Source organism: Homo sapiens, chromosome 12 (genome assembly GCF_000001405.40).
Source record: "Homo sapiens chromosome 12, GRCh38.p14 Primary Assembly".
Taxonomy (NCBI): Eukaryota; Metazoa; Chordata; class Mammalia; order Primates; family Hominidae; genus Homo; species Homo sapiens.
The window spans coordinates 104089281-104113503 of NC_000012.12; the positions used below are offsets into that span (position 1 = coordinate 104089281).

The window sequence follows — 24223 nt, forward strand, 5'->3', positions numbered from 1 at the left end:
GGCGGGCAGATCACGAGGTCAGAAGATCGAGACTATCCTGACTAACATGGTGAAACCCTGTCTCTCCTTAAAAAAAATGCAAAAAATTAGCCGGGCATGGTGGCGGGTGCCTGTAGTCCCAGCTACTTGGGAGGCTGAGGCAGGAGAATGGTGTGAACCCAAGAGACGGAGCTTGTAGTGAGCCGAGATTGTGCCACTGCACTCCAGCCTGGGTGACCGAGCAAGACTCCGTCTCAAAAAATAAATAAATAAATAGTCACACAGAAATGAACCCTTACAGTTCAAACTCATGTTGTTGAAGGGTCTACTTTTAGATCAATTGTCTTCAATAATGAAAGATGACAATTTAATGATCTCTTACAATTTTGCCTCATCCCCTCCTTTCCTGTTCCCACATCCTTCACATATTTTTAGTAGAATTATGACTTGATGTTTACACTGTGATGGTGAAATAGTTGCAGGTGAGCCATGTAGTGTGCTATGATAATTACTCCTTTTTCATGCAACTTTGTTTTTCCTGGCATTAACGGCCTCACTTTTTCACTTGCTTAGTTTTCTTCTTGTCTATCATTAATTCATACTCAAATTTTCTAAAAAATTATAAAACTTAAGATATTTGGACATAAAGGTAGTTTCTTTTTTCCCCCCTTGGAACCATTCCTCCTGGAGCCCCCTGTCCTTATGTACTGGTTCTTCTCTAGGCCTGCTGCACAGCTGTCACCTTAGAACTAACTTCTCTCTGTTTCATAATAGGAATTTATCTCTTTCCTGTGTTACAGCCCATATTTCTTGACCTTATTTCTTCCTCTTTCTTTGTATTTTCCTTTATTTCGTTGCAACCCCCTGAGAAGTGGGCTTTTGAAAGGTAAATTTTTTGAGATCTTGCATATCTGAAAATATCTTTAGCCTATTTAACTAATAGTTTGGCTGGCTTATAGAATCCTATATTGGAAGTTTTTCCCTCAGAAATTTATAGGCATTTTTTCTAGTGTCTTTTAGCATTCGGTGTTGGTATTGAAAAGTGTGATGCCATTTGGATTCCTGATCCTTTATATATGACCTAATTTTTTATCTTTTTATCCCCAGTATGCTGAAATTTCAACAATGGTGTGCCTTAGAGTGCATGTCTTCATTTGGTGTGCCTCACCCAGTGGATCCCATTGTTCGGGAAACTCATGACCTTCATTACTGATGATTTCTTCCCTCAATTTCTTTTCTTTTTTTTTTATAAACTAGTCCTCTGATTTTGCTTTTTATCTTCTGTTTTCTCTGTGTATTCCAATTTTTACATTTTAAATATATCCAACCACATTTTTAATTTCTAAAAGCCTCATTTTATTCTTTATTTCTGTTAATAGCACCCTATTCTTGTTTCATAAATATAATATCTTTCCTTCTCTCTTGAAGAATTATACTTCAAAAATTTTGGAGTTTTAGTCTGCTCTTTGTTATGTTTCTTTTTTTCAAGCTCCTTTTTATTTTTCAATGTGTTTTAACCTTGGACTTCCACATTAGAGGTTGTCATCAAGTGTCTGGTGATACTTGGCTGTCCCTTTTTGTTTAAAGTGAGGCTTTAAAAAAGCCTGGAAGGCCTATGCATGTGGGTGTGGCTTGTTGCTTAGTAAACCTTAACAAGAGTAAGTGGGCGGGGACCAACAAATGTAAGTATCAGTGGGTCTTTTTTCTTAGACCAATTAGTTTCCCCTAAGAATTCTCCAACCTCTTGCTTAGGGGTTATGAGCCTGGCTATCAGAATTCTGGGAGCTTAGTAAGGGGATTGGAGGGAAGGTATCTTTTTGTTCAGCATTTAGACTTTCATTTAATTCCTATTTTCAGTAGGGGTGCCTCTCCCCATACTTGTATCATCCTCATACTTGTATCACTTGAGCGATACCGTAGCGTAGTCTAGAGACTCACATTTCAACCTTTCTGCCTATTTCCCATCTTCAGCTAGAATGGAGGAGAGGAATTTCTCTGGCTTGGTATGCTGGGAGAGCAGAACTAGGGCTACAGCCCTTCTTAAACAGGCTTCTGTGTGACAGGCCTCCAGCGTTTTCTTGTACTCTGCACCTCTGCCACCACTGACTGCACTGGGCCCTGGGGCACAAATGGGCCACATCTCAGTGACTTTCCACTTAGGAGAAGGCTCTTAGCTCCAGCTTTTCTGTCTTACATCTTATCTACTATTTTCTCTTCTGCCATTCTCTTTTTCCTTAAAAGGTTATAGCTTCATACTTTCAAAAATTCCTTTTTTGTCATTTGAATTGGGTTTTGGAGAAATCTCCTGAAGAGCAAATGTGTTTAATCTATCGTGTTTAATGAAAATTCTCAAGATTTATTTATACTTATTTTATAAAATTCCAGTTAGACTGAGTGTCTGATTTTAAGCAAAAAGCACATTCCAGATGTAAGGATTTTGGAATGAAATAAACCAAATTCGAATTCTAGCTGTTACTTACTGGCTACCTGGCTGTAGGTGTATTACTTAAGTTCTCTGAGTATCATTTTCTTCATCTATAAAAAAAGGGTCAAGTTATCTTACTGATAGGATTCTTGTGAAGATTAAGTAAGATACAGAGTTTATGGATATATATAGTACACTGCCTGCCATAATGCCTGGCATAGTTGTGGCTATCATTATCATCATCACTTATAAACAGTAGCACCACCAATTAAGGGCAAGCACAGGGCATATTATAGACAAGTATCCTCAGAGCTATGAGAAATTATGAGCCAACAATAAAAATAGAGAGAGAACAGTAACAAAAAACAGGTAATTAGAAAGAACAACAATATTAGGGTATTTGAATGAAGCCAGGTCACTTTTATGGTTAGGTAGACCTATAGGTTTAATAACTGATATTCACATTGATGACTTGAATTATCAAAAGATTTTAAATGTGGCGGCTGGGTTCTGTGGCTCACAGCTATAATCCCAACATTTTGGGAGGCCAAGGTGGTAGATCCTTCAGCTCAGGAGTTCAAGACCAGCCTTGACAACATGGCAAAACCTCATCTCTACAAAATATAGAAAAATTAGCTGGGCATGCTGGTGTGTGCCTGTAGCCCCAGCTACTTGGGAGGCTGAGGCAGGAGGATTGCTTGGCAGGCAGTGACTGCCATGAACTGTGATTGTGCCACTGCAATCCAGCCTGGGCAACAGAGCAAGATCCTGTCTCAAAAAAAATAAAAATAAAAATAATTTTTTTAGGCCAGGCGCTGTGGCTCACTCCTGTAATCTCAGCACTTTGGGAGGCTGAGGTGGGTGGACCACCTGAGGTCAGGAGTTCAAGACCAGCCTGGCCAACATGGTGAAACCCTGTCTCTACTAAAAATATAAAAAATTAGCCAGGCATGGTGGTGGGCACCTGTAATCCCAGCTACTTGGGAGACTGAGGCAGCAGAATTGCTTGAACACAGGAGGTGCAGGTTGCAGTGAGCTGAGATCACACCATTGTACTCCAGCCTGGGCAACAAGAGCAAAACTCCATCTCAAAAATAATAATAGTAGTAATAATTTTTTTTAAAAAGTGTGAATGTGTTTATTATAGTGTGTTTAAGAAGGTTAAGAAAAATGTAATTAGGGAGATTCTTATCCAAAATACTTCATGGTATAGGATAATGATATGTATATGTATGAAATCTTTATATGGAAAACTCAGTCATATAAAATAGTTTATTTGCTTGAAGATTCCATATAGCTGAGATTTTACTTTTGTAGTTATCATATTTTTAGGATACATGTCTGCCCTTTAAGAAAATTTGACCAGACCCAGTAGCTTTGTTCTCTCCTGTGTTATATATGTATTTGCTTGTGATACTAGCTATCACTTACTAAAATGTAGTTTTTTTTCCTCAAAATATACTCTCCCTTTCCTCTTCAAAACTGATCTTTTGAGCATGGAGATTAAGTGAAAAGAAATTGTTTTCTTAGAAACTATTATAAAATTGAAGAATAATCCTGTAGAAATTAATAATGTAATTTTTAGGTGTTTTCTATTTTGATAAAAAGTATTTAAATTGTAACTTATTTTGCTTGTTTTTTACATGTATTTGTATTTCATTGAATATTGCTTACTACAGTAATCTGTTATATTTCTTGTAGATCAATGATACAATAAACAGCACAAAAACTGAACAGCCAGCCACAAAAGAAACTTCAATGAAAAACAAACCAGACTTTAAAGCACTGACGGATTCTAATGCCATTTTATATCCATCTTTGGCATCAAATGCTTCTAATCATAATAGTCATGTGGTGGATATGCTAAGGAAAAATGAAGGTATATGGATGACATTTTAAACTAAAGCTTTTTATAAAATCGGTGGGGAATTTAATAGTCATTGAAAAAGTAAATGTTGTACAGTTTTGATCCATTTTCCTAATAGCAAAAAACTGCCATATTCAACCTGGTTAGAATAATGTTAAAATACCAAGTAAGCACTTACCTGAACAGTAATGATTAGTTATGAACTATGGAATTTAAATGAGGCAATTTTTTTTTTTTTTAAAGAATAGCCTCTCCATCAGGAAGAACTATAGTAGAAAATGATTAGGAGATTTGTTAGGGATTCTTTTAGGACTCCAGGAGATGCATAGAGACTAAAGCAGTGGCTGACTCCAGGAGATACACAGAGACTAAAGCAGTGGCTGAAATGGAGAGGCGAGAATTCATCATTTAAGAGACGTTTAGAAGGTTTCATCTATTAGACTTGACAACTGGTTGTATATGAGAAATAAAAATGAGTTGAATATGACTCCCAGTTTTTTGGGTTGGACAATAGAATAGATAATGATACTCTTCACCAAAATAGGAAATATAGGAGCAAGAACAGATTTTGGAAAAGATAGGTTCAACTTTGAACTCTGTTTTTGAGGCACTTCAGCAATATACTGGTAAAGATTTCTAATGGGCAGTCGGATACTTAGGCCTGGAGTCTAGAAGGCAGTACTAGGCTAGAAACATAAATTTAGAAATTAAGAGTATTTAAATGTAATCTCCAAAAGAGCAAGGATCTTGTTGACTTGTTCACTGCTAGATTCCTAGCACCTGGTACAGTGTCCAGGACATATGTATGGATTTGGGAATGGTATTTAACGCACAGAAAAATATGTAAAGGGCGACAAGAAGAAGGCTTAAGTTTGTGAGGCATGATCTATGCCTGCCTTATTTCACCATTATAAAAACAAATACAATGTCTCATACATGGTAGACTTCACTGTTGTGGAATGAATAAATATACGTCATAGGAAAAAAAATAGCTTCAAAAAGGAGTATGTGGTCAGCATTGTTTACAGTGCAGAAAAGTCAAGTAAATGAAAATTGAAAAATATCCCCTAGAAATCATTGATGTTTGCCAGAATTATTTTATTAAAGTAGTGTGCTAGAAATCAAATTTTGGGGAGATCAAGGAAGTATAAACTGTTCTAAAGGGAATTAGTAAGGGGAGAGGGTAATTGGTGGGAATTGTTGGGTAAACAAAGAGGTGCGTTGTTTGCTTCAGGGATTTGATGATGTTTACGAGCCAAGGACCAAAACCTACTGACAAAGAATCTGAAAACCCTGAAGAGAGAGGAATGATTGATGAGGGTCCCAACATATAGGGGAAGGAATGGGACCAAGAGTACAGGAAGATACATTCAGATTTTTTAGGAGAGAGGTCAGCAAATCTTCTGCAATGGAAGACAGGGAGGATGAGCACAATTATTAGTACAATTCTAGTTTGCAGCCAGAGAAGGCAGAAAATTGAGATAATTCATGCTTAATGACCTCTAATATTTTTTTCCTGAAATGAAGGGCAGAGCCATTTGATCTATGATTTAGTGGAAAGTCAAGAACAATGGTTCGGTGTTTAGAATGAACGAGGAAGGTAAAAAGTTGGATATCCATTATGGATATAATGCACTTTATTTTTCTAAACATTTTATGCCTAATGGATAATTCATACTAATACCATTTGTGGTGCTCATGTATGATTTTAAAACTGAAAGTACCAAGAATCATATGACAAGAACGATAAGACACAACAATTATCTGCAGATATCATATTAATAATTACCTTTTCCCTTTTATTTTAGGTCCTCACACTTCAGCAAATGTAGGTGTTCTAAGTAGTTGCCTGGATGTAAGAACAGTAATTCCTGAAACATCTGTATCCAGTACTGTTTCCAGCACACAAACTATGGTAACCCAGCAGACCATTAAAACTGAATCATCCAGTACAAATGGGGCAGTTGTTAAAGATGAAACTTCACTAACAACATTCAGTACCAAATCTGAAGGTTTGAAATGTGTTTCACATACTGTATTTTGAACCATTTATGTATATAAATTCATCAAACTTACTTGTCTTAGATGGGAGTTGCATTTCATCTTGGAATTTTGTTATTAGTCATTTTAACTTAATTTCTGTGAGCAAGAGTTTTCATTTGACCTAAATTTAACTTTTAGAATCTTTAAGAATTCTTTTTAGTTTTTGTTTTCTTTCTATCATGACTTTATGGATTTTGACCATATATTTACCTTTATCAGCTTTCATCTTTCCAGAATGTAATGTAAACAGATAAAGCATTTCATTTAAAATTATTTTATAAAATATTCTCTGCATAAAATATTTAGATTAGCACACACTATTGAAATACAATCAGAATGTGTCTTTCCTACCATGAATAAATTTAGCAAACTTTTTTTTAGACAAGATTGGTTCTAGACTGTGTATTAACAATTCTTCCAACTTGCTTGATTTCTAATTTGATAAATTCTTTATTCTTTTGAAATAGGAATTGTATTGCATCTTTAGTGAACATTCTCTGAAGTTTTAGCTAGTCATCAAACCCTTGAAAAATGAAGTTTATGAATTGTTTTGAGTTAAAGGGTCAATATTACTACTTATTGTAAATAATAGTACAATACCCTCTGGCTGTTTTTTATTGTGATAAAATACATGTAACATAAAATTTGCTGTCTTAGCCATTTTTAAGTTTACAGTTGGTGGCATTAAATATATATTTAAAAATTATATTTTAATGTATCTGATAAGTTATGTAAATCTTATCTGATAAATTGTTTAATTTTTAGTTGATGAAACATATGCACTGCCTGCAACGAAGATCAGCCGTGTAGAGACACATGCTACAGCAACGCCGTTTTCTGTAAGTACATGACCTGGTGATGATGCATGTTTACACATGATTATGTACTTTTAAATGCTGAGCAACTTCTAAATAATTTCATAAAAAGATTCTCAGGTCTCAGTAATGAACTGACATAAATTTAGAAATAAATGATTGAATAGGAAAATGTTCACAGTATAATGTTTAGTGAAACAGCTGGATAAAAAATAACATATGTGTTGTGTTCCCAATTTTATTAAAAAATACATGCAGTTCATACATTTATACTCTCACATGTACCCACACATAACCACTCTGAAATCCAGGTGGGGGGCCACAGATACTTTTGACTTTCTTCTTTATGCTTTTTATATTTTTCTATAATGCAATGTTATTTTTATAATCAGAAATGTGTGTATGTATATATACATACATATATGTGTATATATGTGTAAATTACATTAATGGTTAAAAGATAAGGTGTGTTATGGAACATAAAACTTGAATGGCTGTATTGCTAGCTGCTTAATAGGAGCACAACAGAATATTGCAATAGTGGATTGACATAAATGTAGGGTAGCCCAATAATCTCTGATATTTGGTTGTCTTACATAGGCCAAATTTGGTATGCATGGCACCAAACTTTAAATGCCAGGAAAGTGCCTTACAAATATACCAAGATTGTCTTACTTAGATAAATACAAGGATAATACATACATATATGTACTTTTGAGGTTTTTTTTTGTTATTAGTCATTTCAACTTAATTTCTGTGAGCAAGAGTTTTCATTTGACCTAAATTTAACCTTTAGAATCTTTAAGAATTCTCTTTAGTTTTTATTTTCTTTCAATCATGACTTTATGGGTTATGACCATATATTTACCTTTATCAGCTTTCATCTTTCCAGAATGTTAAGTTCTAGTGTTTTTAGACTCTTCTTAGGGAAGGATTACTAAAATGAATTTTTTTTCTCTTGAGTCTGTTTTGCCATGCATCAGCCAGAATTGTATTTGTTATTTGAGTTGGAGCCAGTTGTTTTATAAAAGTTGTTGAAGAGAGTTTTTACAACTTTATAGAATGAAAACAAGTTTAAAGCTATTACTTTTTTTTTTAACTTTAAAGACTCTTCTAGTTAGCTCACTTTGTCATGTGTGATAGCCTAAATATTAAAAAAATGTGAATTATAAGCATGTACCTCTGCTGTTATATATTTAAGACAGAAATAAATAACTGAAGTGCACATTTGTTTTGAGCTTCTGGAAACAGTGTCTCATTTATAAGAAGATGGCTTTAAAAGGTTAGTTCCAGGGATAAGTATAATTCACTTACCACTAAAAGTAGCTTAAGGTAGAGGAAGTTTATTTGTTTTAAAACAGGATAAAAAATGTAAAACTGTTTAATATACTCCTCTTTAGTATATACCAAAGTATATTCAAATTGCATTTTAGTTTTGAACATTTTTTCTCCTTTTAGGTTTGGAGAATCACAGGTATTTCAAGTGCAAAGATCACTGAATTTTTGCTAGTTGTTTTTGGATCTAGAAATGAGCCAGCTTGGAATGAATTTTTCTGTATTTGCTCCTTTGGAGCAAGTTGTAATGTTACGCTAAAGGAATTACATTTTCTGAGAGAGTCTCTGAAATGACAATGTTCTATAAAATAGCTGGCATTTTAACATATCACTGATTGGAAAGCATGCTAACTCCAGCTAGGTTGATAGTACAGAGCTACTGACTTGGAGAATGCCTGTCACTCCTGTGTTTGAATTGGCATCCCTGTTTCACTGTCAGTTGACCTAATCTGTTAAGACTTTATTTACTTATGAGTTGTTAATGTTGTGGTGTTTATCCAAATACCTACTTGTAGATCACTGCATGGACTTATTAAATCTTGAAATTTTTCGTATATTCAATAAGAGTCTTCATAAATTTTTTTTTCTCTGAAATTAGAAAGAGACTCCTTCAAATCCAGTGGCCACAGTGAAAGCGGGAGAACGACAATGGTGTGATGTGGGAATTTTTAAAAATAATACAGCTTTGGTGAGCCAGTTTTATTTGCTGCCAAAAGGGAAGCAAAGCATCTCAAAGGTAGCTATTGATATATTTTCTACATTGTAAATTATAAGCCTCAAGGATGAGATTTTTCTCTACCAATAACTTAGGGAAAGGAAAAAAAAATTAAGAATGAGATTTCTTTTTTAGAACCCTGATTCAGGTCACTTGAATGAGTAAAATTGGGATCCATCCACAATCTATATAATTGAGAATTCTGTATACCAAATGTATTAGGCCATTCTCGCATTGCTGTAAAGAAATACCTGAGACTGGCCGGGCGCAGTGGCTCACGCCTGTAATCCCAGCACTTTGGGAGGCCAAGGCAGGCAGATCACGAGGTCAGGAGATCAAGACCATCCTGGCTAACACGGTGAAACCCCGTCCCTACTAAAAGTACAGAAACTTAGCCAGGCGTGGTGACGAGCATCTGTAGTCCCAGCTACTCAGGAGGCTGAGGCAGGAGAATGGCATGAACCCGGGAGGTGGAGCTTGCAGTGAGCCGAGATGGTGCCACTGCACTCCAGCCTGGGTGACAGTGTAAGACTCCATCTAAAAAGAAAAAAAAAAAAGAAATATCTGAGACTGGATGGCTCAAGGTTCCACAGGCTGTACAGGAAGCATGATGCTGGCATCTGCTCAGCTTCTGGGGAGGCCTCAGAAAACTTCCAATCATGGCAGAAGGTGAAGGGAAAGCAGGCATGTCTTACATGGCATGAACAGGAGCAATGCGTGGAGTGGGGAGGTGCCACACACTTTTAAACAACCAGATCTCATGAGAACTCACTATACAATACTAAGGGGGGATGGTGCTAAACCATTCATGAGAACTCTGCCCCTACGATCCAATCACCTCCCATCAGGTCCTACCTCCAACACTAAGGATTACAATTCTACATGAGATTTGGTGGGAAAACAGATCCAAATCATATCACCAAGTTACATTGTATTCTGTGTTAAGGCCCTTTGTATGGACTACATCACAAGCATGTCATTTAAAAAATCTTTGAACCAGGTGTGGTGGAGCATGCCTGCAGTCCCAGCTACTCAGGAGGCTGAGTCAGGAGGATTGCTTGAGCCCAGGAGTTTGAGACTGCAGTGCAGTATGATAGCACCTGTGAATAGCCACTACATTCCAAACTGGGCAACATGGCAATACCTATCTCTAAATTTAAAAAAAAAAAAAAACTTATACAATCACTGAGGTGGAGAGTTTTTTGTTTGTTTGTTTGTTTATTTGAGACAGGGTCTTGCTCTGTCACCCAAGCTGGAGTGCAGTGGTACAATCTGAGCTCACTGCAGCCTCAACCTCCTGGGCTTAAGTTATCCTCACACCTTGGCTTCCTGAGTAGCTAGGACTACAGGGACAAGCCACCATGACCAGCTAATTTTTGTAGAGACTGGGTTTCACCATGTTGCCCAGGTTGGTCTCAAACTCCTGGGCTCAAGTGATCCTTCCATCCCGGCTTCCCAAAGTGCTGGGATTACAGGCATGAGCCACCACACCCAGCCAATGAGCTGGGTTTTAAGTCATAAATAATCTAGTCTGACTAGCACAAATAAGAGTTTTTTGAAATAGCTCTAATTTTGTTAACCGGTGTGTCTAGAGAATGGAACTTTTTTTTTCCTATTGAAAAAGAATTTTTTTATTCCTCATTTTACAATTAAAAGAAATCTAAAAACCCTGATATGCTATTAAATACAATCTAATGTTCCCTTGATTCTGAAACCCCTTAAAGAGGACCTCATATACATATATGAGATATTTTATGTATATATGTAAATTAGACATTTAAGCTTCTAAGAATTATTAAATAGATAACAGCTCCAAAGCACATTGGAAAAATTTATGAAGGCCAGGTGCAGTGACTCATGCCTGTAATCCCAGTACTTTGGAAGTCCAAGGTGGGAGGAGCTTGAGCCCAGGAGTTCGAGACCAGCCTGGGCAACATGGCAAGATCCTGTCTTACAAAAAATAAAGAAGTTTTCTGGGCAAGGTACGTGCCTCTGCTCCCAACTACTTGGGAGGCTGAGGTGGGAGGATCACTTGAGCCAGGAGGTCAAGGCTGCAGTGAGCCATGTTCAGGCCACTGCACTCCAGCCTGGATGACAGAGTGAGATGCTGTCTCAAAAAAAAAAATTATTAAATGGACAATTTCTGAGAGAGAATTGCCAAGGAAATAGATGTTCATTTTGAATCTCCCGAAGATATGCACAAATGAGGATTATATCCTATATATTTATATATATTTTAGTTGCTCTACTATTACTCCTCATATCCCTCTTTTTCATACAGAATTTTTCTAATTCTTGACAAAAATAGAAATTCTAGTTAATAATTAGTATTATGCCCAGTGAAATTTCTCACTGTAGTTTGATTTCATATATAAAGACGTGTCTGTGTCTAGGGGCCTAGTAGCTACCTGATTTTTCCTAAAAGAAAAAAATAGCCTAAAATTTAGAGCTAGTAAACTTAGGTTTAAATCACTAGCTCCAGCATTCAGCAGTGTGATCTTGGCAAGTCAACTTGTTTAATCTCTCTTAGATTCAGTTTCCTCATCTGTAAAATAGAGATGACATGGCTCCCTTAAAGTACGAGAACACAGTGGCACTCTGTCTAACTGGGAGAGTTAGGGAGAATATGTAAAAATTGTTTGAAAGTTGTAAATGTTATTATCTTCCTACCTAGAGTATATAATCTAATTATTTAACATTTATTTGGTGTCTGTTGAATTTTAATTTAAAAAATGCTCTATAGGCTGAGCATGGTGGCTCACGCCTGTAATCCCAGCACTTTGGGAGGCCGACGCAGGTGGATCACATTTGGTCAGGAGTTCGAGACCAGCCTGGCCAGCATGGCGAAACCCCGTCTCTACTGAAAAATACAAAAATTAGTTGGGTGTGGTGGCAGGCATCGGTAATCTCAGCTACTCGGGAGGCTGAGGCAGGAGAATCGCTTGAACCCGGGAAGCGGAGGTTGCAGTGAGCCGATTGTGCCACTGCACTCCAGCCTGGGAGACAGAGTGAGACTCCGTCTCCAAAAAAAAAAAAAAAATTCTCTGTACTACATGCTAGTCACTCCTTTTCTATGAAGCTTGCTTGCCTGTCTCTAAAGGGTATTGTTCCTGGGCAGACTATTATTTGACGGTATATCTTCTGAGATTTCTGCTTCAAGATAAGTTTACATGATGATGGGATAGTTGTGTTTATGGCAGTTGTCAGCTTTTTTTCTACCTTCACATTGTTCACGTGCAGAATGCTCTTACATTTCTCTGTGTAATCAGTGATTCTCAACTGGAAAGAGTGCTCACCTCTGGATAAGGAGCACAGATTTATGGACTTAGTTGCTTGTCTATTGGAGGGTTCATTCCATGTGAGAGAGAGGGAGATAAATGTGAACCAGAACCTTAAAACATAATTTATTCTTTAAAAGTTTTTTTGTTTAATAAAAATTGAATAATTTTTAAAATTTTAATATATTAGTTGTACCTTTTCTTTGACTTTTGCATATACTACATTTTAGGTAGGAAATGCAGATGTACCTGACTACAGCTTGCTTAAGAAACAAGATCTTGTTCCAGGCACAGGATACAGATTCAGGGTTGCTGCAATCAATGGTTGTGGGATAGGTCCTTTCAGCAAAATCAGTGAATTTAAAACTTGTATTCCTGGTTTTCCTGGAGCTCCTTCTGCAGTCAGAATTTCAAAGGTGAGACATCGGGTCAAGACTTGTTGGTGATTTTAAATTATTTGAAATTTCACATGTGAAGTAAACTGTCAGTTTAGAAATTCTTGTTACCATCTAATGAAATGAGAGATACCTAAAAGGATGGATTTAAAGTTTAAAAAATAATTTTAGCTAATCATTCATTTTTTTTAACTTTTATTTTAAGTTCAGGGGTACATGTGCAGGTTTGTTACAAAGGTAAATGAGTGTCATGGGGGTTTGTTGTGCACATTATTTCATCACCCAGGTATTAAGCCTAGTACCCATTAGTTATTTTTCCTGATCCTCTCCCTCTTCCCACCCTCCACTCTCTGATAGGCCCCAATGTGTGTTGTCTCCCTCTATGTGTCCATGTGATTTCAAGCAAAATTACAGCATCCAAATCACAGAAAGGCAGGGAAATCTGGTATGCTTCTAAATTTGTTCTTGTTATTATGGAACGAAAACATTTGGCTGGAGAATTTTAATAGAGCACTCGAAACTGGATTATATTTTATCCTAATGTCCTGTCCCTCCCTAGAGATTGTTTAGGAAATAAAAATCCCTGTTTTGGGATATTACAGGCAGACATTTAAACTTAGTTGTGTTTTTGAAAAGCAAGCATGAAATTAAACATTGTAGATCCAAATGAGGTAGGTTTTAAAAATCAACAATAAAAGATGTAACATCTAATGCAATTATTTTAGTAAAAATGAACATTTTGTATTCTAAAGATAGACTCAACATAATAAGTGATAACAGAGGAAACTTAAGAACCTTTAACCTGTTTTTTCCCCCCCCCTTCAAGAATGTTGAAGGTATCCACCTTTCCTGGGAACCTCCAACCTCACCTTCTGGAAATATTTTGGAATATTCAGCCTACTTGGCTATCCGCACAGCACAGATACAAGATAATCCAAGTCAACTTGTGTTCATGAGGATTTATTGTGGTCTTAAGACATCATGTATAGTAACTGCTGGGCAACTTGCAAATGCACATATTGATTATACATCCAGGCCTGCCATTGTGTTCAGGATATCAGCAAAGAATGAAAAGGGATATGGACCAGCTACACAAGTTCGGTGGCTTCAAGGTAACAATAAGAAAGCACCTTTAAATTGAATTGGTTTTTTTACTGAAGCTATTGTGATGATGATTATTTATTAGTAACTGGTTATGAAGATTTGTCATTTAAAAGAGTATTCTCTGGCTGTATTTCCAGCAGTTATGAACTTGAGTTTGTAAATTGTTCTTAAAATGTATTTGCTGAATTATAGATCCAAATAAAAGAAAAGAAGCAAAGACTCTCTGAAAATTAGTATATGAGTTCTTCCTTACAGATATAGCTCTTTTATAAAGAAAAACAGTGAAATTAAGATAAAAGCTAGAAAGCTTTATTACCCCAATATCTTTTATAAGGGCTGTGTAACCCAGTCATCCTAGAGTTATTGAGATGATTCTGGTAACTGGCTGTTGTATACTATGCTGTCTTATATAGTAAATGTTCTCTACATTGTAAATGTCCTACCTTTGAGTACTCCTTCTATCTTTATTCTATATGAGCAGTGTTCCTCTAACAACTGTCTTCTATTGGATAATATGTGTGATACTATAATAATTCTAATAGTTATTTGATTCCTTTCTTTGTTTACAGTTAGCACAGAGCTTAAGAAATTAAAAAAGAGGCAAGTTTAGAAACTGCTTTTGAACTTTTATTATTTTCCAAGAATCATGGTAAAATACAACAAGAACAATGAGTTTTCTTGATTCTTACCAGGCCAATATATTTGAATATATTTTTGGCCAAAGCACTTAACTTATCTGGCCCTCATTTTCCTCATAACAGATGAGGGAGTTAAAGCAGTTTATCTTTTAGGTCCCTTTCAGCACTAAGGTTTTGTGTTTTTAGTAGAAGTGAAGTATGTCCCTGAACATTTTCATCTGTCTTAATGGCTCTAATTTTGCTTTTGCTAAAATTAAAATCTTCATAATTGAATTCAAAATTAAAGTATATGTCCTCCTATTGGAGAAAAAAACAAGCACCTTAACAGGACACAAGTTTTAAAATAGTGTTTTAAACATTTGTAAGATTTTTGTAAATGCTCTAAATGTTTTATTTTTGCATTGTTTTTACCTTGAAATTGTATAAACTTTTTTACTATGAAAATATAAGCATTAGACAGCTAACTCAGGTTCCATTACAACCTTAAAGATACAGATAGGCATTATAAACACTCTGCTACAGGTAACTTGTTTTAAACCTTTTAGGAATTTCATGGTTCCACTGCCTATTTAAATCTGGAATTAATATACAGAGCAATAATTGCAGAAAAGATATTTCAAACTAAGAGCTTCAATAACTGCAGGGGCACAGGTCTATCTTTTTTTATACCACATAACCTTATGCCAGTTTAGGTTGACTGAGTAGCTATGTCCTCAAATTTCATGTATGATACCCCCCAGCAAAGATGGATTTAATTGTGCAGAATTGATATATATGTGTGTTCCAGTTACTAATTTAAAGTGTATAGAATATTTTAATATATAATTTTTGTAAAGAACTGGGATTTTTATACTACAGTATTTGTAATTAATGTGTCTCACTAATTAAGTTTCTCTTGAAGAAAATATGCAAATTGTTAGACACATAATGAGTGGTTTCCAAACTCTAAAGATAAAATAAATGCACTACTATGGTGTTGTTAGAATACCTTTTTTGTGGCTGTATGAATCTTTACTCTTTAAATGTGTACTTTACAATGTTTACAAGGAGCTTCTCTGGTTTGTTATCCCAGCAATGCCCTTGGTGAGAGCTTCATTCTGCATTTGTTTAATTCATATGCTTTGCTTTTGGCATATGCTTGCTTTTTGCACTAGTAGAATTTTAACTTACCTCATTATTATGTTTGTAATCATTTGTCTAGCTTCTGTAATGTATCTGATATAGGCTAAACAAATACTTAACCAAAGTTAAAATACATGGTAAGCAATTTTGCACATATTAAATATTAGGGTTTGTTGTGTATATGTGTATACTTAATTATAAAAGAATATGAATGGAAAGTTATACTAAAAGTATATGTTTCAAGCCCAGTTATTTTAAAGATCTATTGCTTTAATAGAAAAAGTTTGGCTTTTAACCCTTTCTTCTCTGCATTAATTAACAACGTGCATCTTGAAGCCCTTCTCCTGATAACAAGGAATAAGTTGATTTTAAGCAAAGGATAGAATATTTGTTTGAGTGTGCACATTTATACCTGTTTAGTATTTGATTCAGTTAAGCCTCCACTCTTCTGGATCAGGAGGTGATTCTGAACCTGTGGTTCTAACATATGACTTAACTGTTTAGAGGGAAGAGAAGTCTTTCTATACTGAGGGATTTGTTAAAATCATAAATGTTTTTGCCCTGAGACTTAGCCCAGATTCTATTTTTTTTTTTTTTTTGGCATTTGTACATTAAGCACCAGTCATATTTATCTCTGTGATAAGGGATTGCTGACTAAAAAATGCCATTAAGAAATCTCTGTGGCTTTGACATTAGTAGTTAATAAGAGATCTTAGAGCTGTGTGCTGATGAATAGAATGAATTGGAGCAAATAGCAAGAGAAGTGCATTTAGCTTCTTATGATTTGCACATTTTCTAAATGAAGATCCCTTTGTGTAGCAGTAGGCTGTATCATGCAGATATTTTTCATAGGATTTGCACTGAGTTAAATGACTTTCTTTACTCTTCCCAGTCAGGTAAGCAGTTCAAATATAACAAGACTTTGTGCCAGTCCTCTTCTGTGTTCTGCAACTCTGGCTCTCATAAGTAGTAAAAATATTTTTGATGTTGCATGCTCTCAGAATTATGTTTTCTAAAATATCATATTGGCTTCATTTTAGTTTAATAAACTTCTTTGGCAACTTAATTAGACATAGGGTATATATAAACTCAATTTTATCTGCATTTTTTAAAAAATTGAAATAATCTGATTGCATGTATGAAGGACTCCTGCCTCATTACCCAATTACATAAATACAATTATCTATAGGAAGGTGAAATTGTTGATCTATTATTTCAAAGACTTGTAGACTAGCAAAGATTCATTCTGATTAGAAATAAGGTCTATAGCTAAAGATATTTTTATTTTAAAAAATTACAGCCCTTGTAACAAAAATCATTTGTAACATTGGATATGAAGACATTATTAGTATTTAAAATTATTGTAGTCATTTGATCATAAATGAAGTAGCTTGCAAAATAGACTTGGTCTTTGACCCTTTAAGGTGTAACTGACTGACTGTTGTGTTTTTCAAGACTGATTTTAGGCAGTTTTATGTATCGTGTACCAATGATATGTAAAATAAAGCACCTTTTCTACTATAAACAATTACAGGTGTTATTTATTTTGAAGGATATGAAAGAAAAGTTAGTGATGGCAGAGTAAATCTGTAGAAATGTTGATTTTATATTTAAAATAACATTATGTAAACATATTAAACATATATTAACATGTTTAATAATTAATATTTAATAATTAACAAGTTTAATAATTGTTAAACATATATTTAAAAGGCTGCCTGTATTGTTTGAAATAATATAGGCAGCCTTTAAATTAAGAATGGATTGTGTTTAAAAACTTGTTTTTAAGTTTTTAAGATGGCAGTTGGGAGTCGTTTTCTCATAGAAATGTAAATCCTATGTAAGTAACCCTTGTCACACCTGAACTAGTATGCTTGAAAGTAAAAAGGCAAATGGCTCCAAGAAATAGTCTAAACTTGTTGTCACCTTTTTTTTGTCTTTCATTTACTCTAAAATATTTTTCTTTATTCTTTTCATCCTTTTAAATTCATAGCAGCCAGACTTCTGACCTGCTGCTCCATTGAAATGGCTCTAGCAAAGTTCAAGGATAACCTCCCATTTCCCAAATCCAGGGAACTCTTTTATCGTATTTAATCTTGTCATTTGAAACTTTTGTCCACTGTCTCGGCACTTCCTCATTTTTGTAGTGTCTATCATACCATGCTTTCTGTCCATCTTTACACACCTCCTCCTGTCTATGGTTCCCTTTTTTACTCCCACCTGTCCCCATTCATTTTTTTTCCTAGATTCAGGCCAAATTGCCAATCTGAAGAAGTCTTTCCTGACATACTCCACCACCAGGTAGATTTAACCCCTTCTTTTTGTTCTCCCACTGTCCTTTGTTAAATCTTCTGTCATAGCAGTCTAAAAACTTAGCGCCCCTATTTGTTAGCATGTCCCTCTCCATCTGCTAGATGGTAGGTCTTCAAGGCAGAGACTGGGTCTTTATACCCGTTCCATGTTGGCTGGCTAGTTAACTGGTACTTAAATATTTTAACAAGCGGGTAAAGAAAATTGTCACCTTTACACTTCTTCATATTCCCACTCCTCCTAAATAGAGGTCAAAATGGGAGGGAAGCTTTGAAAGGGAAAGAGATTTTTTGCAGATTTGCCAAGTATCTGGAGGAAATGCAAACTCTTTAGCTTTGTCTTACCCTGCCCTGCTATTAGGTTAAAAGAAGTTCTGGGATAAGAGATTTAGTATAGGAGGTCTTTGATTGGAAAAGGTCCTTCTACCAGATCAGGTTTGTTTTTTTTCTTAAAGGAAAGAAAGAAGAAAGATCTTTCATGAGGTTATGGGCATTGCTGGATTATGATTTTTAACACTGGATGATCAAAATAAGCTAAAACTGTCAAAAGTTAATCTCTGACACTAGAAATTACCTACCTATATAAGTTCAGGGAACTGCTGAAGGACATGGTTACCAGGATTGGAACTGCATTGGATTCTGTTAATATCAAGTCAGGTCACTGTTATCACCTCTAAACTTGTAGGACAAAAGATTCTTACACTCAGGAAAATGAGATGACATTGGCAAAACTCCCTTCTAAGTTTTCTAGTTATAGTTAGTCCCTAGACTTATGTATTTCTGTGACTCCAGAAAAAAACTTACTTTGATCATTCCTGGAAAAACATGAACTACAAAATTCTGGGGGAAAAATCAATAAATTCTGTAAACCGAATGAAGGGCTTATGTCTGTAATCCCAGGCCAAGGCGGGTGGATCACCTGAGGATTGACCAGCCTGGCCAATATGGTGAAACCCCGTCTCTACTAAAAATACAAAAATTAGCTTGGCATGGTGGCGGGCGTCTGTAATCCCGGCTACTCAGGAGGCTGAGGCAGGAGAATCGCTTGAACCCTGGAGGCGGAGGTTGCAGTGAGCTGAGATCGCGCCATTGCACTCCAGCCTGAGCGACAAGAGTGAAACCCCATCTCAAAAAAAAAGGCCATAAAATCTGAGAACACCAGCTTCCTTGTTCAAAATAGTGTCCACTTGTGGGCCTATTAATCTCAGCAGAGGGGATCTGGAACTGAGCATGAGGTTCTTTTGTTTTATATATTTGGTATTTTGGATAAATTAGGTTGAGCAAAGGCCTGCTACTTAATCGTCAAATTCACAATCTGGCTACCACTCCTGCCAGTACCTCACATTCAAAAAAGTTATGAGAATGCAAGGTTATAAAGCCTTTGGTCTTGGATAGAGAGAATGCTGGGAAGTCATAGAGATGAGGTTGTGAAGGTTACAGAAGTATTCCTTATTTACTGATTTTAATTTGCTTGTTCAAAAGATATTTGAAGAGTGCCTAGAGATGTCAGGGTGTTTACCTATAAAAGAGAAGAAAGTATGAATTGGTGGCATATCAGATATGGAAGATGTCACAGAGAAGGAAACGTCCCCCCCCACCACCACCATTCTACCCACTTCCCCTTCATGGTCTTCTTACCCCCGCAAAGATACGAAGCTAAAAGATCCATCATTCCTGAGCATGAGAATTGAGGAAGGCACAAGATGAGCCCTTTGGTATGAGCACATACAGGTTAAAAATAAAAGGTAGCAGCTAGTGTTTGTTTTTGAACATAGAAAAACCATGTCCACTAGTAAATTATACTCCAACAAATGTCCAGCTCCAACCAAAAAGATTATCCATTCCTCCTACTGAGAAGATAGAGTAGACGTTCTCTGAGAATTTAAGAAGAGTTACCTCCTTTTCTCTTTCCATATTGGGGAAGGGGCAAAAAGCTACAGCCATAATGTTTATCATCCGCTGTAACAAAGCATAGCATGTAAGAGAGTGGGCAGAGATCTGAAGATAAAACTGCTTGATTCACAATCATCCTGCCAGTTGCGATTTAGCACCCCCTGGTGGCATTGTCCAGCCCAGCTTACATGTGGATAAGATTCTAGGTCTTGTAGCTGCCTAGGATTTTAAAAATAGCTACAGCAATACCTGGAGCTTTCTGGTGAGTTGGCAATCCTGTGTTAGACCCAGTTGGAGAGAATGGACCTGGAGAATATACTTTCTACTTTCCTGCAACTTCCTAACCCAAGATAATAACTTTAACCTGCCCTGTTTAGATACAGGGACACACTGATTATTTCAAGATCCATTTAATTTTTGAGGATTTTTAGATTGTTTATCAAAATTTCTAGCTAGTTTTCTGAATCAGGAGAAATTGCATCTTAACTATGTCTTTTTAAGTCTACATAATGGCACTGACATTGATAACCTTGGTAAAGACGTGATTGCAAAATTGTTATAACATTTGTGTGATCAGCAAGGCACCTGTTATTGAGCAATGTGGAGAAACGGTCAGTTGCTGCCATACACTTTCCATATTTTTGGAATACTTAATACATAAATCATTATTAGGAGAATGTGTGAGAGGATATTTGTACTTTTGAAAGTCAACATAATTCAGTAAAGAGGTGGTTTCTTTGTCAATTTATTTGGAATTTATATCACCTATCATTTCATTGTCTGCTTTATATAAATAATTATACCCAGAGAACAAAGTAACCAATTAACCAGAGTCATGCCAGTGAGTCCAAGCCAACTTGGAAGAACAGTGCTATAATATTGCCATCTCATTGGATCTTGACCCTGTGGGAATCTAGTTAACTTCCGTGAGGAATAGTCCATACTCATTTCCTTTTCATATTATCATGTATTGCTTCCCCCATTATTATAATTGACTGATTTGCATAGCACAGTAGTGGCTGAAATATCAGAAGATATTCTCCCTTTGTTGATGAAAGTACGTATTGCATAACCTTGTATCTTTTTTCTTTTAAAATGTTTGTTGTGAAATAATACAAAAGTATATTGTGTATGTATGGTTTAAAAAATAACATGATCACACGTACTCAGCCTTCAGCTTAAGAACTAGAACATTCTCAGCTGCCTAGAATCCCCCATTTGTTCTCCCTCCATAGATTATATGAGGTAAACATTCTTCTGGATTTTTTGTTAATAATTTCCCATGTTTTTATTTGTGACTCTACCATCTATGTATGTATTCCTAGTAATATATTGTTTAAATTTGTTTTTGAACTTTTATGTAAATGGAATCATGCTGTATGTATTCTTCTGTGACCTCTTTTTTCTGACATTGTTTTTGAGATTCCCATCCATGTTTATGCATGTAACTGTATTTCATGTTTTCACAGCTATATGGTATTCGATTGTATGACTATTTCACAATTTATTTATCCATTCTTCTATTTATGGAGATTTGGATTGTTTTCAGCATTTTGCAATTACAAACAATGCTGCTATGAACATTCTGCCCAATTACAATGTAAGCTGTGTGTGGGCAGAAGTTTTGTCTGTTCTGTACTCTACCATATTCCCAATGTCAGAACAATGCCTGGCACCAGGTAGATGCTCAATAAATATTTGAGGAATGAATGACTTCTTGTATTGTCTCCTGGTGCACTTTTACAGCAGTTGCTCTAGGACAGTTGTTGTCAAAGTGTGGTTCAGGGACGCCTGGGGGTCCCTGAGACCTTTTTGGGAGGGGTCTGTGAGGACAAAACTATTTTCATAATAATACTAAGGCATTATTTGTTCATTTCATTCTCGATTTTTTCACATTTTCCAGATGTATGATAACATCATCACTCTGGCAGCTAATCAAGTATACTTGTATATTTCTGTTTTAAGAAGTCTGAATTTTAATTTCTAATATGGTAAATATTGATAGATATAACCCACATGAACAACAGCTCTTTGAGGCCGTCAATAGTTTTTAAGGATAGAAAGAGGTTCTGAGACCAAAACTGAGAACTGCTGCTCTAAGGAGTGGGTTTTACTTGGTAATTGTTTTCTAAAACATTTGTACCAACTTATACTCCCACTGGCAGTGGTTGAGAGTTCCCATGGCTTCACATCTTGGCTAACACTTGGTCTTGACTATCTTTGTATGTGCCAACTGGATGGCTATTATGTGGTTTCTTAGTGTGGGTTTAATTTGCATTTCCCTGATTACTAATGAAATTGAGTGTCTCTTCATATATGGGTCCATCATGATTCCTCTTCTGTGAAATATTCCTGTCTTTTGCCCATTTTTCTATTAGGTTGTCTGTCTTTTTTTCATTGATTCATATGATGGATACCAATCCTTGGTCAGTTAAATATATTGCATATATCTTCTCTCAGTTTGTGTATTGTCTTTGTAATTGTAAATAATCTGTTGATCCACTTGGAGAAAACTGACATCTTTTCAGTAATGAGTCTTTCCAGCCAAAACCATTGTGTAGCTTTCCATTTATTAGGTCTTCTTTCATGTCTCAATGAACTTTAAAAATGTTCTCCATAAAGGCCTTTACATCTTGTATTAGATTTCATCCTAGTGGTTTTATAGTTTTTAATGCTGTAAACTGAATTTTTATCTTTTTAAAATTTGTTTTTATCTTAAAATTTTTCTCATTATTTTTATTGACTTTGTTAATTTCATTCAAAATGCATAACAATATTTCTATATAATCAGCAATAACCAGAATGGAAAGTATAATTTTAAAAATTCAGTTTAATTAAATTCAGTTTACCTGTTATGGATGGTAACTGAATTTTACTGAATTACTGAATTTTTAAAATTATACTTTCCATTCTGATTGTTGCTGATTTTTAAAATTCAGTTTAATTAAATTTAGTTTACCTGTTTCTATCTGGTAACAGATAAAATTATACCTGTTAAAATTATACTTTCCATTGTGATTATTGCTGATTATATAGAAATAATGTTGGCATGTATTGATTTTAGATCCAACAACTATGCTAAACTTTTATTAGTTCTAACAATTATCTAGATGTCCTTTGAGTTTTTTAAATTAACATTTGCAAATAGTGGCAATTTTTGTCCTTTCTGATCCTTACAACTTTTTAAAAATTTCTTGTATTTCTGTGCTAGCTAGCACCTATAGAACAATGTTGAAGGGAACTGATAGTGAATCTTGTCTTAACCCTGATTTAAAGATTTTTTTTTTAACATTTCACTGTTTAGTGGCTTTTTTTTTGTAAATGGCCTTTATCAGTTTAAGGAAGTTTTTTGTTTTTTGGTTTGGTTTTTTGTTTCTGTTAATCCAGGCTGGAGTGCATGGCATGATCACAGCTCACTGCAGCCTTGATCTGCTGGGCTCAAGTGATCCTCCTGCCTCAGTATCCCAAGTAGCTGGGACTACAGGCATGTGCCACCATGCCCAGCTTATGTTTAAATTTTTTGTAAAGGTGAGGTCTCATTATGTTGCTCAGGCTAGTCTCCAGTTCCTGGGCTCAAGCAATCCTCCTGCCTCAGCCTTCCAAAGTGCTAAGATGGCCAGTGCTGCACTGCACCTGGCCAAGGAAGTTATCCTCTTTATCTAGTTTGCCAATAGTTGTATTATGAATGGATTTTTTTTTTTTTTTTTTTTGAGATGGAGTCTGGCTCTGTCGCCCAGGCTGGAGTGCAGTGGCGCAATCTTGGCTCACTCCAAGCTCCGCCTCCCGGGTTCACGCCATTCTCCTGCCTCAGCCTCCAGAGTAGCTGGGACTACAGGTGCCCACCACTAAGACCGGCTAATTTTTTTTTTTTTTTAGTAGAAACGGGGTTTCACCGTGTTAGCTAGGATGGTCTCGATCTCCTGACCTTGTGTTCTGCCTGCCTAGGCCTCCCAAAGTGCTGGGATTACAGACGTGAGCCACCGCGCCCGGCCTGGATATTGAATTTTATTCAAGGCTTTTTTTCTGTCTCTCCTTTAATGTGTTAATATATAAATTATGGTAACTGACTTTTTAATATTAAACCAGCCTTTAATTCCAATTATAAACCCAACTTGGTCATGGGGTGTGTGTTTTAATATTTTGCTGGACTCAATTTGCCGATATTTTGTTTAGTTTTGGTCCTATAGGCCAGACACGGTGGCTCACGCCTGTAATCCCAGCAATTTGGGAGGCCGAGGCGGGCAGATCACTTGAGGTCAGGAGTTCGAGACCAGCCTGGCCAATATGGTGAAACCCCATCTCTAC

General features: G+C 35.9%; 1 protein-coding gene across 4 annotated transcripts in view; it reads left to right on the forward strand.

The window, feature by feature from the left end:
- HCFC2 (host cell factor C2) overlaps positions 1-17244 on the forward strand; it is a 41994-nt gene extending 24750 nt beyond the window's left edge. Inside the window, exons 10-15 of one of the 4 annotated variants that reach the window (NM_013320.3) lie at positions 4106-4283; positions 6080-6283; positions 7080-7153; positions 9063-9200; positions 12688-12873; positions 13679-17244. In NM_013320.3, coding sequence (NP_037452.1) covers positions 4106-4283; positions 6080-6283; positions 7080-7153; positions 9063-9200; positions 12688-12873; positions 13679-13993 — 1095 coding nt within the window. In that variant the 3' untranslated portion in view covers positions 13994-17244. Of the gene's footprint in view, positions 1-4105; positions 4284-6079; positions 6284-7079; positions 7154-8330; positions 8412-8587; positions 9201-12687; positions 12874-13678 lie in introns of those variants that run through there. The other 3 variants (XM_047428753.1, XM_017019242.3, XM_047428754.1) reach the window with 3 other exon arrangements.
- The last annotated feature ends 6979 nt before the right edge of the window (positions 17245-24223 follow it).